A 17,991-nucleotide genomic window follows, 5' to 3' on the forward strand; every position below is an offset into this window, starting at 1 on the left:
ATTTGGTTAAGTAAGTGGAAAATAGAGACATTCAAGTTTTATCCCAATTTAAAGTAAAATGCTTCAGTCCCTGGGGTATTCGTTTAAAAGAGAGCTAGAACATGATTTAAAAAACTGGAAATATATAAATTCTATACTACTGCAGATGGGCAGGAATTTTTTCAAAGCCATCCTGAAGCAGCAAGATATAACTCATTTGCATTTGTCTTTTTCCAATGAATGTGCTTTTTCTTATAATTAGAGCTTGACCATCGCTCTGAAAAGAATATTTCAGCCCTATCCCTCACTCTCATCTTTGCATGTGTGTCAAGGTTGGCCCTGGAAGTCTTGTGTAGTAGTTGCTACTTGTCATTGTCTCACTTGTACCCAGTAAAAAAAAGTGCAGCATTGAAGACTGACACATTCAGCCATGCTATTGGCACCCAAACTCAGAGCACTGCTGTACTTCAGGTCAGAATTGTATAGGTGATGCTAAATGCAAGCTATGGTGCAAGCTTTTCCTAGATCTGATGGACTGATTCTTTGTAACTTTTTTTTTTTTTTTTTTGAGACAGACTCTTGCTCTGTCGCCCAGGCTGGAGTGCAGTGGCGCCATCTCGGCTCGCTGCAAGCTCCGCCTCCCGGGTTCACCCCATTCTCCTGCTTCAGGCTTCCCAGTAGCTGGGACTACAGGCGCCTGCCACCGCGCCCGGCTAATTTTTTGTATTTTTAGTAGAGACGGGGTTTCACCGTGTTAGTCAGGATGGTCTCGATCTCCTGACGTCGTGATCCGCCCACCTTGGCCTCCCAAAGTGCTGGGATTATAGACGTCAGCCACTGCGCCCGGCCTGTAACTATTTTTAATGGATGCTGTCAGGGATATGAAGTATTTCTATGGGCTCCTCTATGAGCTTTTTAAGTTACAATGATAAAGCTAAGGAACAAATTACAAAAGAACTTTGTAGGCAATGGAATCATGGAAGCCAGTATAACAATCCTCTATAATTCAGAGCATTCATTTTAAACTCATGCCTAAAATAAGAAATGAAAAAGAGCTATTGTTAGACCGACAAGTTCATTAATATCATGAAGTCATGAAATTTTAGAGCAGGAGGAAAATTTAGGATCACTTTTTCATATCTTGAGTTTTACAGCTGAAGCCCAGGGAGGTTCTTTAATTTGCCTAAGGTCATAAAGTCAGTCAGTGGCAGGACCTGATGTAGAAGCTGGGTCTTCTGAACCTCTACCCACTACCCCAACGGGCAGTTTCTAAGTCAAGGTTTATTAACTCTGGAGTTGGACGTGAAGAGGCACGTTGGAGAATGTTGTCCAAGAGGCTCAGTGTCAAGTCTAGTTAGATTAAATGTGGAATCCAGTAACAGGAGACCATATGAGAACACTGCACAGTGAAATGAGGAACAAGCTACTAAGATGGGCAGAATGGTGCAATGAAAACACTACTGGACTAAAAAGACAGGAGTTGAGGGAGGGAAGAAGGCAGAAAAACTAAAAGGCCAACATTCATTGAGCACTTAATATGTACTGGGCACTGTCCTGGATGCTTAGATGTACTTTATTTCATTTAATCTTACAAAACCTTCCAATAAGGATAATATTATTAATATTATTTATAACTTTACAAATGAGAAGAAAATGGGAATTTCCTAAGGCACACAGATACAGTCTGGATTCAGCAGAATGAGAATTAAAAAAAAAAAAAAAACAGATCTGTCTGACTTCAAAGACCATACTTTTTTTCATAACTTGTTTTACTGTTGTGCATATAAAATGAAATAATATGCTGTATACAAAGTTGAAAACAAAGCACATTGCAGGTGATAGGAAGTTTAGTGAATGACGGGAACACTCTTGCAATAGACTAAAGTCAGGGCTGCATAGTTCTTAGTGGCAGTGTGACCTTAGTTAAGTCAGCTTGTTTCTAGGAATCCACTTTTCTCGTTGATAGCATGACAGTTTTTTCCTTCCTCTTGTTACAAGATTTTTTTGTGATGGTCAATTTTTTTTAAATGCTTGAAGTATGATGTTTTTGCATGTCAAAAGTACATAATGTGGATAGAAGAAAATTAATTTAGTTGAAAAATGTTTCAGTTTTTCTTTGAATTACAATTGATCATTCAGACCTTTGGTTTTAACTAAGAAAAACTATAGTAATATGACGGTATATAAAGAATTTGGAGTAGGAGAAACAATGTAGCCATAACCTACAAATAGAGGCATACTCTAAGGCAGTGATTCTCACTGTTATCTGATGATAAGAATCACTGGGGGCAGGGCACAGTGGCTCACGCCTCTAATCCCAGCACTTTGGGAGGCCGAGGCGGGTGGATCACCTGAGGTCGGGAGTTCAAGACCAGCCTGATCAACATGGAGAAACCCCATCTCTACTAAAAATACAAAATTAGCCAGGTGTGGTGGCATATGCCTATAATTCCAGCTACTCTGGAGGCTGAGGCAGGAGTATAGTTTGAACCCTGGAGGCGGAGGTTGGGGTGAGCTGAGATTGCACCATTGCACTCCAGCCTGAGCAACAAGAGCGAAACTCCGTCTCTCACAAGCACACAAAATAATCACCGGAACCTTTACAGAGATGTGAGTTCTCTGGATCAGAAGAGCTCCAGGAGTTTCTTGTTTAGTAAGTGGGTAATGGTGCCTGGGATATATGTTCCTTTAAATCATTACAGATGATTCTTGCAATCATAGTTACCTGCATTAGAAGCACCTGGGTTCTGCTTAAAAATGCAGATTCTTGGGTCTTCCTCTTACATCTAGTAGTATGAGAATCACTAGGGGATTCTGCCTGGAAATACGAGTTTAAAATTAGACTATGATTTCTCAGCTCTCATGTAACTCTGGTAATAAGTGAATGTTTGCTATTGCTTTGATCAGATGGCTGTACATGACAGAACTGCAAGAAAATTCTAAACTGCTAGATGATAGTCTCAGTTTATTGCATTTGAAGATGTTTGGGGAATTGTTCAGAATTTTGAATTTCTCCTATAAAACTATATCACTACTGTTGTGTATTTGTGGAAAGCTGAAAAATAAAACTAAATATATTCTGGATACATTTTTCTCAATTTTTATGTGAGTATATATATATATGTATATACATATATGTATGCTGAAAACGATATTTATATCTGAGAGATTACCGTTTGTTCAACCTTTGATTTCAGTAGCTGAGTACATTCATTTGGCAAGTCGAATAAGGTCTAAAGCAGAGAAACAGCAGGAAATCAAGGAGGTACATATATCTCAGTTTTATAACAAAATAAATTTACACACAAAAATGTGTCTAGAAAAAAGATAAGTAGTTGTTTATAATCCCTTCCTGGGCCTTCTAAAGAGGGTGAATGCCAAGAAAGATCTTTTGTTTTAATGAATAGGGTGGTGGGTGTAGATGCAAACTGGAGAAGCTCAGGAACCTAGGTGAGTATTCCTGCCTATGCAGAAGGTTGAGAAGACTTGTTATGGGGAAAGAAAGAGGGAGGACGTAGAGATGACAGCTGCCACAGCCAACAGAAATTGTAACAGAGAGGATTTTCAAAACAATTTTGCTGTATTATACATAATGTTACATCTTACATCCAGCTTCAGCTTCCCAATAAATTTTCAGTTAATATTAAATATATATATGTATATATATATGTATATATGTGTATATATGTATATATATATGTATATATGTGTATATATGTATATATATGTATATATGTATATATGTATATATATGTATATATGTATATATGTATATATATGTATATATGTATATATATGTATATATATGTATATATGTATATATATGTGTATATATATATGTGTGTATATATATATATATATTTTTCCTCCCATTCTTTTGGCATTTGATGGCCAGGTCAATCCTCCTCTTTACATGCCAGATGGGTTTCTGGGCAAGAGCCAGGGGAAGGAAAAGGTCATGGAGGCCAAGGTACATTATTTTTCTTAATAATTTCAACTTTTATTTTAGATTCAGGAGGTACTTGTGCAGGTTTGTTACATGAGTATATTGTGTGATGCTGATGTTGATGAATGATCCTATGAATGATCATAGGATGATGATCCTATCATCTATGGTGTGCATCATCCTATCACCTAGGTAGTGAGCATAGTACCCAATAAGTAGATTTTCAGTTTTTCAGCCCTTGTCCCTTCCCTTCCCTCTCTAGTAATCCCCAGTATCTCTTGTTGCCATCTTTATGTTCATATGTACCCAATGTTTAGCTCCCACTTATAAGTGAGAACATGCAGGATTTGGTTTTCTGTTCCTATGTTAATTTACTTAGGATGACGGCCTTCAGATGAATCTATGTTGCTGCAAAGGACATGATTTTTTCTTTTTCATGGCTGTGTAATATTCCAGGGTGTACATGCATCACATTTTCTTTATCCAATCCACCGCTGTTGGGCCCTTAGATTGATTCCATGTCTTTTGCTATTGTGAATAGCTCTGTGATACATATGTGAGTGCACATGTCTTTTTGGTGATGGAATGATTTATTTTTTATTGAGTATATACCCAGTGATATGATTGCTGAGTTGAATGGTAGTTCTGTTTAAGTTCCTTGAGAAATCTCCAAATTGCTTTCCAAAGGGGCTGAACTAATTTACATTCCTACCGTCAGTACATAAACATTCCCTTTTCTCTGCAGCCTCATCAGCATCTGTTATTTATTTTTATAATAGCCATTCTGACAGATGTGAGATGGTATCTCATTGTGGTTTTGATTTGCATTTCTCTGATGATTAGTGATGATGAGCATTTTTTCATAAGCTTGTTAGCTCCTTGTATGTCTTTTGTTTTTGAGAAGTGTCTGTTCATGTTCTTTTGCCCACTTTTAGATGAGATTATATGTGTTTTGCTTGTTAAGTTGTTTAAGTATATTACAGATTCTGGATATTAAACCTCTGTTGGATGCATAATTTGCAGATATTTTCTCCAATACTGTGAGCTGTCTGTTTACTCTGCTTTTCATTTTGCTGTACGAAAGCTCTTTATTTAATTAGGTCTCACTTGTCAATTTTTGGCTTTGTTGCAGTTGCTTTTGAGGACTTAGTCATAAGTTCTTTGCCAATCCTGTTATCTACAATGTTATTTTCTAGGTTTTCTTTTATGATTTTTATAGCTTGAGATTTTACATTTAAATCTTTAATCCCATCTTGAGTTAGTTTTTCTATATGGTGAAAAGTAGGGGGACAGTTTCATTCTTCTGCATATGACTATCCAGTTATCTCAGCACCATTTATTACATATGGAGTTCTTTCCTTATTGCTTATTTTTGTTGACTTTGTCAAAGGTCAGATGGCTGTAGGTGTGCAGCTTGTTTCTGGGTTCACTTTTCAGATCTATTATTCTGTCTGTCTGTTTTTGTACCAATATCATGCTGTTTTGATTACTGTAGCCATGTAGTGTAGTTTGAAGTCAGGTAGTGTGATGCCTCTGGCTTTGTTCTTTTTGCTTAGCATTGCTTTGGCTATTCAGGCTCTCTTTTGGTTCAATATGAGTTTTAGAATAATTTTTTATAATTCTGTGAAAAAAGACATTGATAGTTTGAAGGAATAGTGTTGAATCTGCAGATTACTTTGAGCAGTATGGACGTTTTAATGACATTAATTCTTTCAGTCTATGAGCATGGAATGTTTTTCCATTTGTGTCATCTCTGATTTTTTTCAGCAGTGTTTTGTAGTTCTCCTTGTAGAGATATTTTATATCCTTAGTTGGTTGTATTCCTAGGTACTTTTTTGTGTGGGTGGGTATTGTAAGTGAGATTATGTCCTTGATTTGGCTCTCAGCTTGAACCTCTTTGGTGTATAGAAATGGTACTGATTTTTATATGCTGATTTTGTGTCCTGAAACTTTACTAAAGTTGTTTATCTGGTCTAGGAGCCTTTGGCAGAGGCTTTAGGGTTTTCTAGGCATAGAATCATATTGTCTGCAAAACTGAGATAGTTTGACTTGCTCTTTTCCTATTGATGCGTTTTATTCTTTCTCTTGCCTGATTGCTCTGGCTAGGACTTCCAACACTATGTTGAATAGGGTTGGTAACAGGATCCTTGTCTTGTTCCAGTTCTCATGGGGAATACTTCCAGCTTTTGCCCAGTCAGAATGATGTTGACTGTAGATTTTTTATAGATGACTCTTATTTTTTTGATGTATGTTCCTTCAAGGGCTTATTTGTTGAGGTTTTATAATGAAGGGAGGTTGGATTTTATCAAAAGCCTTTTATACTTCTATTAAGATGATCATACAGTTTTGGTTTTTAATTCTGGTTTTGTGGTGAATCACATTTATTTAGTTTTGTGTGTTGAACCAACTGGCATCTCAGGAATAAAGCCTACTTGATTGTGGTGACTTAACTTTTTGATATGCTGCTGGATTTCATTTGGCAGTTTTTTTTCTTTTTTTGAGGATTTTTGTGTCTATGTTTATCAGGGATATTGGCCTGTAGTTTCTTCTTCTTTTTTTTTTTTTTTTTAAGACAAAGTCTCACTCTGTCGCCAAGGTTGGAGTGCAGTGGCGCAATTTCAGCTCACTGCAACCTCCGCCTCCTGGGTTCAAGGGATTCTCCTGCCTCAGCCTCCTGAGTAGCTGGGACTACAGGCTAGTTTTCTTTTTACATTGTGCCTTTATCAGTTTATGGTATCAGGGTGATACTAGCTTCATAGTATGAGTTAGGCAGGAGCCCATCCTCCTCCATTTTTTGAAATAGTTTCAATAGAATTAGTACGAGCTCTTCTCTGTACATGTAGTAAAATTCAGCTGTGAATCCATCTGATCCAGAGCTTTTTTGTATGTAGGTTTTTTTGACTAATTCAATTTTGTAACTGGGTATTGGTATGTTCAATGTTTCAATTTCTTCCTGATTCACTGTTGGGGCTTGTGTGTTTCCAGGAATTTATCCATTTCTTCTAGAGTTTCTAGTTTGTGTGCATAGAGGTGTTCATAATATTCTCTGAGAATCTTTTGTGTTTCTGTGGAATTGGTTGTAATATCACCTTTGTTGTTTCAAATTGCACTTTTTTGGATCTTCTCTTTTATTTGTTAATCTAGCTAGCAGTCTATCTGTCTTGTTTCGTCTTTCAGAGAGCCAACTTTTGGGTTCATTGATGCTTTGTATGGATTTTGGGGTCTGAATTTCATTCAATTCTGCTCTTATTTTAATAATTTCTTTTCTTCTGCTAGCTTTGGAGTTAGTTTATTCTTAGTTTTCTAGTTCCTCTAGATGTGATACCAAACTGTAAATTTGAGATCTTCCTAACTTCTTGAAGTAGATGTTTAGAGCTATAAATTTTCCTGTCAACACTGTTTTTGCTTCATCCAAGAGATTTTGCTATGTTGTGTTGACTGTTCGTTTCTTTCAAAGAATTTTTTACTTTCTGCCTTAAATTCATTGTTTACCCAAAAATTGTTCAGAGAAAAGTAGTTTAATTTCCAAGTAATTGTGTGGTTTTCAGATACCTTCTTGGTTTTGATTTTATTTGTATTCCACTGTGGTCAGAGCATATGGTGGGTATGATTTCTATTTTTTCTAATCTGTTGAGACTTGCTTTATGGCTGAGCACTATTGTGTGGTGGGCTAAGGCTTTTCATAGATATAGGAGTATTTGTATTATTAATGTGGGTGCTCCGATGTTGGGTGCACATATACTTAGGATTATTAAATCTTCTTGTTGAATTGAACCTTTCATCATTATATAATGTCCTTCTTTTTCCTATTTTATTATTGCTGGCTTAAAGTCTGTTTTATCTGATATAAAAATAGCAATGATATAAAAATAGCAACCCCTGTTCTTTTTTGTTTTCCATTTTCATGATAGATCTTTCTTTCTCCAGTTCTTTACTTTGAGCCTGTAAGTGTCATTTCCTGTGAGAGGGGTCTCTGGAAGACAGGAGACAGACTTTTTAATCCAGTTTACCACTCTCTGTGTCTTCTTAGTGAAGCATTTAGACTATTTTCACTCAAGGTTAATATTGTCATGTGTGGTTTTAATCCTATGGTGAAATTATTAACTGGTTGCTTTGTAGTTCCTGTTATATAATTGCTCTATAGGGTCTGTGAACTATAGACTTACATGTATTTTTGTGGTAGCAGGTATTGTTATTTTGTTTCCATTTTTAAAATTCCCTTAAGGACCTCTTTTAAGCCTGGTCTAATGGAGATACATTCTCTTAGCGTTTTTTTATTGTTGGGGGTGTCTGGAAAACATTGTATTTTTACTTTGCTTATAAAGCTTAGTTTGATGGGATATGGAATTCTTGGTTGAAATTTCTTTCCCTTAAGGATGCTGAAAATAGGCCCCCAATCTCTTCTGGCTTGTAATATTTCAGCTGAGACATATGCTTTTAAATTGATGGGATTCCATTTGTGCATGGTCTGAACTTTTTCTCTAGCTGCCTTTAAGATTTTTTCTTTAGCATTGTCCTTGGGCAGTTTAATGACTATATGCCTTGATGATGTTCTTTTTGTATGGTATCTCACAGGTGTTCTCTGGATTTCTTGTTCCTGGGTGTCTACCTCTTTAAAAATACTAGGGACACTCTTTGTACTATTGCTTCAAATATGTTTTCCAGATTGTTTACTTTTTCTCCTCCTCTCTCAGGAATGCCAGTAATTTATAAATTTGTTTGCTTTACATAATCCCATATTTTTCAGACTTTGTTCATTAAAATTTTTTTTCTTTATTTTAGTCTGACTTGATTAATTCAAAAGACTAGTCTTCTAGCTCTGTAATTCTTTTTCTGTTTGGTGTAGTATATTGATAAAACCTTCAATTGTATTTTGAAATTCTTTAATTGAATTTTTCAATCCTGGAAGCTCTGACTGATTTTCTTTAAAGATGTTTATCTCCTTCTTCATTTCCTGGATTTCTTCAGAAATTTCTTTTTCTTTTTCTTTTTTTTTTTTTTTTTGGCTTTCATCCTTGTCTTGAATCTTGTTGAGCCTCCTTGCAATCCAAGCTTTGCATTCTTAATCCGTCATTTCTGAGTGTCTGTTTTAGTCAGGGACCATTGCTGGAGATCTAGTGTGATCCTTTGGTGGAGTCACAATATTCAGATTTTTCATGGTATGAGAAAAGTTGCACTGGTTCTTTCTCATCTGGAGACACTGGCACTTCTAATTTTTGTAATTATTAATATTTTCATGTGAATAGGATTTTCCCCTTTCTTTCCCTATTATATATATATATATGTTTTTTTTTTTAATTTTTCTTTGTTTTTCTCCCTAGTGGGTGTAACTGTAAAGAATGTTGGCTAGGGTCTTTTGGCTTTGCTTCATTTTTTTGTTTTTGTTTTTGTTTTTGAGACAAAGTTTCACACTTGTTGCCCAGGCTGGAGTGCAAATGGCGCAATCTCAGCTTACTGAAACCTCTGCCTCCAGGGTTCAAGCAATCCTCCTGCCTCAGCCTCCCAAGTAGGTGGGATTACAGGTGCCTGCCACTACACCTGACTAATTTTTTGTATTTTTAGTAGAGACAGGATTTCACCATGTTGGCCAGGCTAGTCTCGAACTCCTGACCTCAGGTGATCCACCAGCCTGGCCTTGGCTTTGCTTCTATAGCCCTATGCACTTCTGTCAGCTGGTTTTATGTTGGACTGTGTGGTTCTACCTACAGGCCAGTAGATGGCACTTATGGGTAAAAGTCAGCTCTGGCCAACGTGAACGGGTATATATTTCAACCTTGTTTACTGGGAGGTCTCTGATGCTGCAGGCAATGGGCTGAACTGTTTAGTGCACAGTGGTCTTAGCTCCCTACTCACCACCACATGAGGGAACCAAGAGAGTAGGGCCTGGACTGGGCAGGCTCACCTACAGCCACTCAATGGCAGGTACTAGCACCAGCACCTAATGCGTGGCCACCTAGCGCCCAGAGGTATGTCTAGGCATGGAGCTTGGTAACCTGCTTGGCCCTAAGTTCTCTGCATGGGGAGGGGTGACGGCCCGAACTCCTAATCCAGTAGAGTGGATGCACCTGGAGATCTTCCTGGGCATGTAGCATAGGGGGCCGTACTGCACCACAGTCTCTCCACAGAAAGTGTGGGGCAACTCAGGCCACTGACCCAGGCAAGGGGGTACTTCAGATGCCTGGAGATATGCCTAAGCATGGAGTGGAGAGGGTCCTGTTACATCACAATCTATGCACAGGAGGGGTGGGAGACTCAGGCTGCTGGTCCATGATAGGAAGTGCTCTGATTGTCTGGAGATCTGCCTGCATGCGTGGAACAGAAGAGGCCCTGCTACACTCTAATCTATGTACGTTAAGGTGAGATGGCTCAGGCTACTAGTCCAGGAGAGTAGGTGCTCTGAATACCTGGAGTTCTGCCTGGATGTGTAGCAGAGAGGGCCCTGCTACACCCTAATCTATCCACAGGAAAGGTAGGGTGGCTAAGGTTGCTGATCCAGGCAACAGGGTGCTCCATCTGCATGGAGATTTGCCTGGGCATGAAGTGGAGAGAATCCTGCTACAAGCCAATTTATGCACAGGAAAGGTGGGGTGGCTCAGGCTGGTAATCCAGAAGAGCAGGTGTTCTCAATGGCCAGAAATCTGCCAGGGTATGGAGCAGAGAGGACCCCACTGCATCCCAGTCTATGCACAGGAAGGGTGGGGCAGCTCAGCCTACTGATCCAGGAGAGTGGGTGCTCTGACTGCCTAGGCATGGAGCAGAGAGGTCTCTGCTGCACCACAATCTAGGCACAGAGAGGGTGGGATGACTCAGGATGCAAATTCATGTAAGTGGGTGCTCCAAATGCCTGGAAATCTGCCTAGGCATGGAGCAGAGAGTGTCCCCTGCACCATGATCTCAGGTGAGCAGGATGGAGCTCCCAGCAAGGTCACACACAGGCCATTTCCAGGTGGCCAAGCTAGGCCTGGCTACAAGTCTCATTGCTCAAGAGAAACTGTCGCTGTAGCAGCTTCCCTCTCACCCTAGAACTACACACGGGGAGCACAATTCCAGCACCTACAACTGGGGCACTGTCCACACGCACCATTCAATTCTGGCTATGGAGGCCTCTACTCAGCACCAGAGCAAGCTCTGCAATCTCTGATCCAAGACTATAATGCCTGCATGGCCATGCTGCTGGGTTGTCAAAGAATTACTGACTTTGTATGCACCTGGATTAAAAATGGCATCCTGCTCTCCATCCTGAGTCTGGGAAAATGCCTGCAGGAATTCCTGGTATCTTTTCCTCTCAATGTCCCCAAGCCTCACCCCAAGCTAGTCCCAAGGCTTGGGAGAAACAAAATGCTCTTTCTTGTCCTGGGTTGCATGGATCCCCATTGGAAAAGTGACTCACAGAGGGAGGCTCTCTGCCCACCCCCTGTTCTGGGTCTTCACTCACTTTTATTTACCAAATGCCTTCCCAGGGGCTGCTTGCCCACCTTCTCCTCCCTGGGGTCTGGGACGTCCTTCACTGTCTTAATGGGTTCCCGTTTTCCCTTTTGAATTAAAATTCATGCATTTGAATTAAAATGTATGATTTTGCTGTTTCCAAGTGGCTAAGACACACTGCAAGCTTCTAATCCGCTGTCTTGGAAGAAAAATAATGCATTTTCTGATGACGTAAATACAAAAGTGCTAAGTTCTTACATTTATTAAATGAGTGTAGAAATAAGATCTGGTGGCTGCATTCACTTTGTCTTCTGACTACCAGTTAATTCAATATTTAAAATTCATTCTTTGGTTTTCATAAAATTACCTATTTTTTTTCTTGGCTCAAAACCTAACTATATGTCTCTTTCTTTCCAGTCCAGTTTGTCAAATTTCCTTCCTCTAGCTGTCCATTATACATACTCTGTGATTCTGCCCTGTGTTTCCTTATCTTCTCATCCAAGTTATTTTTTAAGGCAGTTCTGTTCACTGCCATGGCCTAACAGCCTCCCAATAGGCTAGTCTTTCTCAAATCTTCCTCAAGCCCTAAGACTTCTGCTGAATTTCAGACCTGGATATCTAACTGGCAACCAGCTCTATCCACCTGGATGTTTACGTGGGCATCTCTGGTTCATCATGTCTAAAACCAAGCTATCATCAACCCTTCAAACAGTTATCTATCCAGTCACTCACACCAAAAAACCTTTTAAAAATCCAAGATTTCTCTTTCCTACTTATCTTCCAGTCAGCCATCATGCCTATATATTCTTCTTGCCAAATATCTTTTGAATCTGCCCCTCCTTTAGACTCTTATCACCTATACCTTACAGTTCATGTTACCATCAACTTTTGCCTATATTAGTACAAAGCCCTTTCTCTTCTTTTGGTCTTACTCCATTATTCCAAAGTAATCTTTTTAACACCAAAATCTTATCTTCAAAATTCTTTAAATAATAATTCATTTGCATGTCATCTATACAAGGCCTTTTATCATCTAGCTCATGCCTAGCTTCTGACCTTCTCTTCCTGGTCATTATCACCACCTTCCCTCTCCTACCCCCACCTCTTGCATTTTACACTCTATTAAATTTTGAAATACTTGTTGATTACCGAATTCTGCCTTTTTAAAATAGTACAGACCTTTGCATGTGCAATACAAGGGCATCTCCCCAGTGTGCGTGCTTCACTGCCCTCAGCCATCCAACCCTCAGCTTATATGCTGTCCTCTCTGTGAAGTCTCATCTGCCTCTCTCAAATAAACTTTAGTGCTTCTTTTATTATTTGTTCATGGCAATTTTTAAATATTTCGATTAGAGTTATTTTACTCTTCCATTTAAATTTGTTTGGATGTATTTAATTGTTTTACTAAAAAGTTGTAAGAATTGCCTAGAATAGTTCACGTCAGACACAGAGAATATTCAACAGATGTTGGCTGAATTTAGACCAGCACCTAAACTAGTTCCTTTCAGGTCATTGGGACTCAATATTCACATTTTAAAGAAAAGATTTTAGAGTATTCTCAACTGGGAGCAATTTTATTTTTTCATTTCTTTAGAATTTCGGATCAATGTACTTGTGTGAGCTATTTTTAAGATAAATTTTCTATGTGATAATTGTATTTGAATTGATCAGAAACTGAAAGATTTGTTTTACAGGGATTATTTAAAGCCTGTTGACATTAGACAATTCCTGCATTAAATTTACTGTAAGCTGTAGGAGTGTTTATGATGTAATTCACTTTTCATAGTATTTTACAAAGCACAATCATCATAGACCCAGAGTAGATTGTTTGTGCTGACTCCTTTATACATCTCTGAGCCCAGCTTTTCTTCTGGTAACTCTTTTAGTTGAAATGGGTATCCTCTATGCGTGCCATTGGCATATCTCCTAGAGACAGCTGCAAAGAGTAGCAAAATCAGGGGGTATGATTGTTCTTCCGTGTATTATGAAGCAAGCTAGGAAAATTCTGAATGCAAAGTCACCAGGAAGAGATTCTGAACATGGCAGACCCCATGTTGTCTTTCCTAATCCCTAGAAGAAGGAAAAGAGGTAAAAATATTATGATAAAATCTGGATTCATTTTGCTACTGCCGACAGGGATGAATCTGGTGACTCCCACCCAGAGGTGCTTCCTTGAGAATGGAGAGATGGAAAATTGCAATCACAGACTTTCACATTAGGAGTAAAAACTTATATTATGATGGGTGAAAAAACTATGCCTAACGAAGTACAACTTTTAAGAGCTCATAAATCTTGAGCTCAGTCATAGATTATTAATTTAGAAAAATAACAACTATGTATTCTCAACTGCAAGCTACTCAATATTAATAACATTAGTGTGTATTGTATATCCAGATAGAGAATCACTAAAGGTTTCAAGCTTAGTGGCAAATGTATCTTTAAATATGCATTTACTATGCTCTCTGTAATAAAATGAAAATCATGGTTTATTTGATGGAAAGAGAATGATAGTTTGTAGGCTTTCACAATAAAATGAGAGAACTTGAAACAGGGATTCTCATAAAATGAGATTTTTTTCTAAACTGGAAAATTCTCTAGCCATAATGACCTGGGTAGGGATGGGAGAAAGAGAATGAAGTGTAACAAGGGCGTAATTTCATTTGAATAAAAGGAATTGGCGACTTATGTCAGAGAAGCTATGTTAGAGATATCTAACGGCCAACCAGCTCTGTCCATGGATATCTACCCAGATGTTGTTACTTCGTAGCATGGCTCGGGTATTAGTTCTCTCTGCATCTGCGTGGTGAGTAGCTCTGAGACATATTCTTTTGACCTCTAGGATTCCTTAGGTCATAAAGTGTGTATTTTCTGACCTAACGAGGCAAAAATGTAAATGAATGATAGAACATCTTTTTAAAATTGATTCCCAGAGATCTAGAGTGTTTATACACCCTCTCTGTTTTCTTCTCAGAGTTGCAGAAAGCTTCATTTCGCTACTAAAAGGTTTCCTGATTCCCTTATCTATCAGTAAGAGTAAGCCCAATTCTAAAAAATGTTTTTAGAAAATTACTTTCATCTCTGCATGGCCTGGAATTTGCTTGAGGACACCATGAATAGTAGGTCATCACCACTACATTTCAGGAAAGAGAGCCAATGTAACTATTTTTGAACGTCTTTGAGATATGGTTTAAAACTATGCTATAAAAAGGAACTTGCAAATCTAATTAATATTTAATTTTAGTCTCACGATGCAAAGTAACCTACATGGACATTTTAATGCCAAACTGCCAGATAGGTTGTAAGAATATACTGTACACTCACACCAATAGTGACTGGAAATACCTGGTATAGTAGGCAGAATAATGTGCTCCCCGCTGGCCGGCCCCCCACCAAAAAAGATACTCATACCCTACTCCCAGGATCCTGCAAATATGTTAAGTTGCATGGCAAAGGGGGATTAAGGTTATACTAGAATTAGGTTTGCTAATCAGCTGACTTTAAAATGGGAGATTTCCTTAAATTTCCTTATCCAGGAGGGCCCAATATAATCACAGGAGTCTTTAAAAGAGGAAGAGGGAAGCAGAAGACAACCAGAGAGATAGCAGTGTGAGAAGGACTTGGCCCTACATTGCTGGCTTTAAAGGTAGGAGTGAAGGCCATAAGCCAGAGACTGTAGGTGACCTCTACAATCAATAAAAGGCAAAGAAGCACATTCTTCCTTAGAGCCTCCAGAAGGAACACAGCCCTGTCAACAACTTGATTTTAGACTAGTGAGACCCATTTTGAACTTTTGTCCTCTAGATCTTTAAAATAATAAAGTTCTGTTGTTTTCAGGCACTAAGTTTGTGGTACTTTGTTACAGCAGGAATAGGAAACTAATACACTTGATTTTCTCCACATCTTTCCCAACACTGAGTGTTAACTGATTTTTTAAATCTTTTGCTAGCCAATAGTCAAACATACCCTATTGCTCTTTTTTTATTATTATTAGTTAGATGGATCTTATTTCCTCTATTAGATGCTTGATGAATATTCATATTGTTTTATGAACATCCAGCTCACGGGCTCATCCTATTTCTTTATTGAGGTTTTAGGGTTTTTTCTTACCCATTTGACCATGTAGTATCACTTTTGCTGTTGGTACCTGCTAAAACATTAAGAAAATAACTTATTGTTTTATCAGGAATTTATGATGAATTTTATAGAGCACCTTTTTACATTCTAGGTAATTTCATGTGCTTTCTTTAAGTATGTTTTCTACTTTGAACTATTAATGTAACAAACTTTAAGAATAGATTTCTTACCTTATCCCAAACTTACATTACTACGGTGTGTCCCACTTTGTGGTACTGCATTATTCTTTTAAGATACTTCTGAATCCAGTTTTGCATCTATATTTATAAATGAGGTGTGTGTATTCTTTTTTTCCTGCAATTTTTAAAATCATGGTTATGTTAGTCTTATAAATAAGCTGAAGCCCTTCTGTCTTTTGCTGTGCTCTAGAACCATTTACATATATAGGAGCTATTTGTGGTATACTCTATTTTTTTCCTGCCTCATTACTGATCCTCTTTCTTCACCTCATTTTGACATCATTTCAATAATTTTAATGGTATTTAGAGAGAAAAGAGAAGTAAATATAGTATCTCAAATTGTTATCTTGAGGTAGAACCTGCCCCATCTTTTAAAATCAGAAAGCTTTTGCATTCTTGAGCCATTCTCATATAATTATGGAAGGAAAAGGAGGTGAGACATATGAAAGGATTGCTTTGGAGAGTTGTTGGCAAGTTGACTTCTGCTTGCCTGTAATTTCATTAATTTCTTTTCTTTCCCCTTCTTTTCCTATGATGATACTATTATTAGTAGTACTATTTTCACCATCTTCAATATCATTACTATGCTCTATAACATATTAGAGCCTGTTTACACTGCACTAAATTATAGTTAATCCTTTATACTGTAAACTTGGGCTGTATTAACGGAAGTGTCCAGGGTAAGGGAAATGATAACTTCATGTTACTTTTTCATGGTCAGAATATTTCAGCAGAATTATGTTGAGTTCAGGGTACTACATTAAAAATGTGTTGACATTTTAAGTAACAAAAACATTACAGGTTCTTTGGGAAAAAAAATTGAAAGACTAAATAGTAAAAAGGAAACAAAAATGACCCTGATACAACCTTATGGATAAATCCATCATTCTAGGCTTCAATCTGTGCACATAATTCATATATATTTTTACAAAAATAGAATTATCTTCTATGTTACTGTTTTGCAAACCTGCTTTTTCAGGTCACAATATGTTGCTAACATTTCTCATGTCATTAACTATTCTTTCCCAAGATCATTTTAATGAATGCATTGTAATTTTATCTGTAACTGTATTAACAGATTCTCTATTGTTAAATATTTGTTTCCATTTTATTACTATTTATGGTGCAGCAATGAACAAGATATGGTGATTATTTTCTTGAGATAAATTCCTGGAAGTGGAATTGTTGGTTGAACATTATGACTTATAATAAGCTAAGCCAAATTTTTCTCTAGTGGTTATTTCATCTCTCATTCCATAGTAAGAGTAAAAAGGCAACCATTCCTTAAACCAACAAAGAGGACTGTATTTATATTAGTAGTTTCCAATTTGATTGACAAAAAAGAATATTTCATTTTGACATGCATTTCTTTAATTACACATGTCCATGATCTCTAGTTCAATGATTCTTTTAAAATTTGGATTTTGTTTAGATTTTTAGCAAGGTAATATAGAACTGCATATTGTACAACCACCTCAGGGGACCTGAGATTTAAAAGCTTTAAACAAACAAGCCCCTTCATCTTTCTACAGTGAAAACTATGAATATCCACACTAAGTGGGGGCAGACATTGGCCATTCATATTCTCCCTTATTATCAGGTTTTGCCATCAGGTCCAGTTCAGTTTTGCTGCTGAATGAATGATGAAAAATCTTTATTTTCAGAGCTTTTCTATTTCAAAATTGAGGACAAGGGACGAAAGATGTGCAGTGGAGATATTTTTTCTCAACTATTTATATTTATATTATTTATTATATTATTTATAGCTATTTATATTTATTCTTTTTGTGAATTGGTTGTTCACATCCTTTACATAATTTTATCTTAGGATGGTTAATATTTTTCTCATTGTCTTGTAATAGCTCCTTGCACATTAAAGAAATTACCCCTTTTCCTGTTATATATGTTACACATATTTGTTCTGAGTTTTATTTGTTGAGATTGTTTACAACAGTTGTTTTCAAGATTGAATCTACCCAAGAATCACCTGATATGTGTGTGTTTATGTCTGTATGTGGTGTGGAGTGGGTGTGTCCATGCGTGTATACAAATTCTTGAACACTGCTCATAGAAAATTTTATATAAAACATATAAAAAAGGTCAGGATAGAACTCTGGCATGTGAAGGCTGGGTGCAGTGGCTCACGCCTATAATTCCAGCACTCTGGGTGTCCAAGGGGGGCAGATCTACTTGAGGTCAGGGATTCAAGACCAGCCTGGCCAACATGGTGAAACCCCATCTCTACCAAAAAATACAAAAATTAGCCAAGTGTGGTGGCGTGCGCCTGGAATCCCAGCTCCTCCAGAGGCTGAGGTGGGAGAATTGCTT

The 17,991-nt window shown here is 37.6% G+C and overlaps 1 protein-coding gene and 1 long non-coding RNA gene across 11 annotated transcripts in view, besides 1 other annotated feature; both read left to right on the forward strand.

Moving 5' to 3' along the window:
- The window catches only part of TMEM117 (transmembrane protein 117), a 603,307-nt gene that overhangs the window by 512,289 nt on the left and 73,027 nt on the right, over positions 1 to 17,991 (forward strand). The window lies entirely within an intron of this gene.
- Positions 143 to 643: an enhancer, noted in NCBI's record as "H3K4me1 hESC enhancer chr12:44702016-44702516 (GRCh37/hg19 assembly coordinates)". NCBI's record gives its function as "activates a minimal SCP1, AML or CMV promoter by ChIP-STARR-seq in primed H9 embryonic stem cells {active_cell/tissue: H9 hESC(primed)}" and the evidence as "EXISTENCE:reporter gene assay evidence [ECO:0000049][PMID:30033119]".
- Positions 4,800 to 15,187, forward strand: LOC124902922 (uncharacterized). Its single transcript, XR_007063281.1, has 2 exons — positions 4,800 to 14,153; positions 14,322 to 15,187. It is a non-coding gene; the product is annotated as an uncharacterized LOC124902922 (long non-coding RNA).

This window comes from Homo sapiens, chromosome 12 (assembly GCF_000001405.40).
Source record: "Homo sapiens chromosome 12, GRCh38.p14 Primary Assembly".
NCBI lineage: Eukaryota > Metazoa > Chordata > Mammalia > Primates > Hominidae > Homo > Homo sapiens.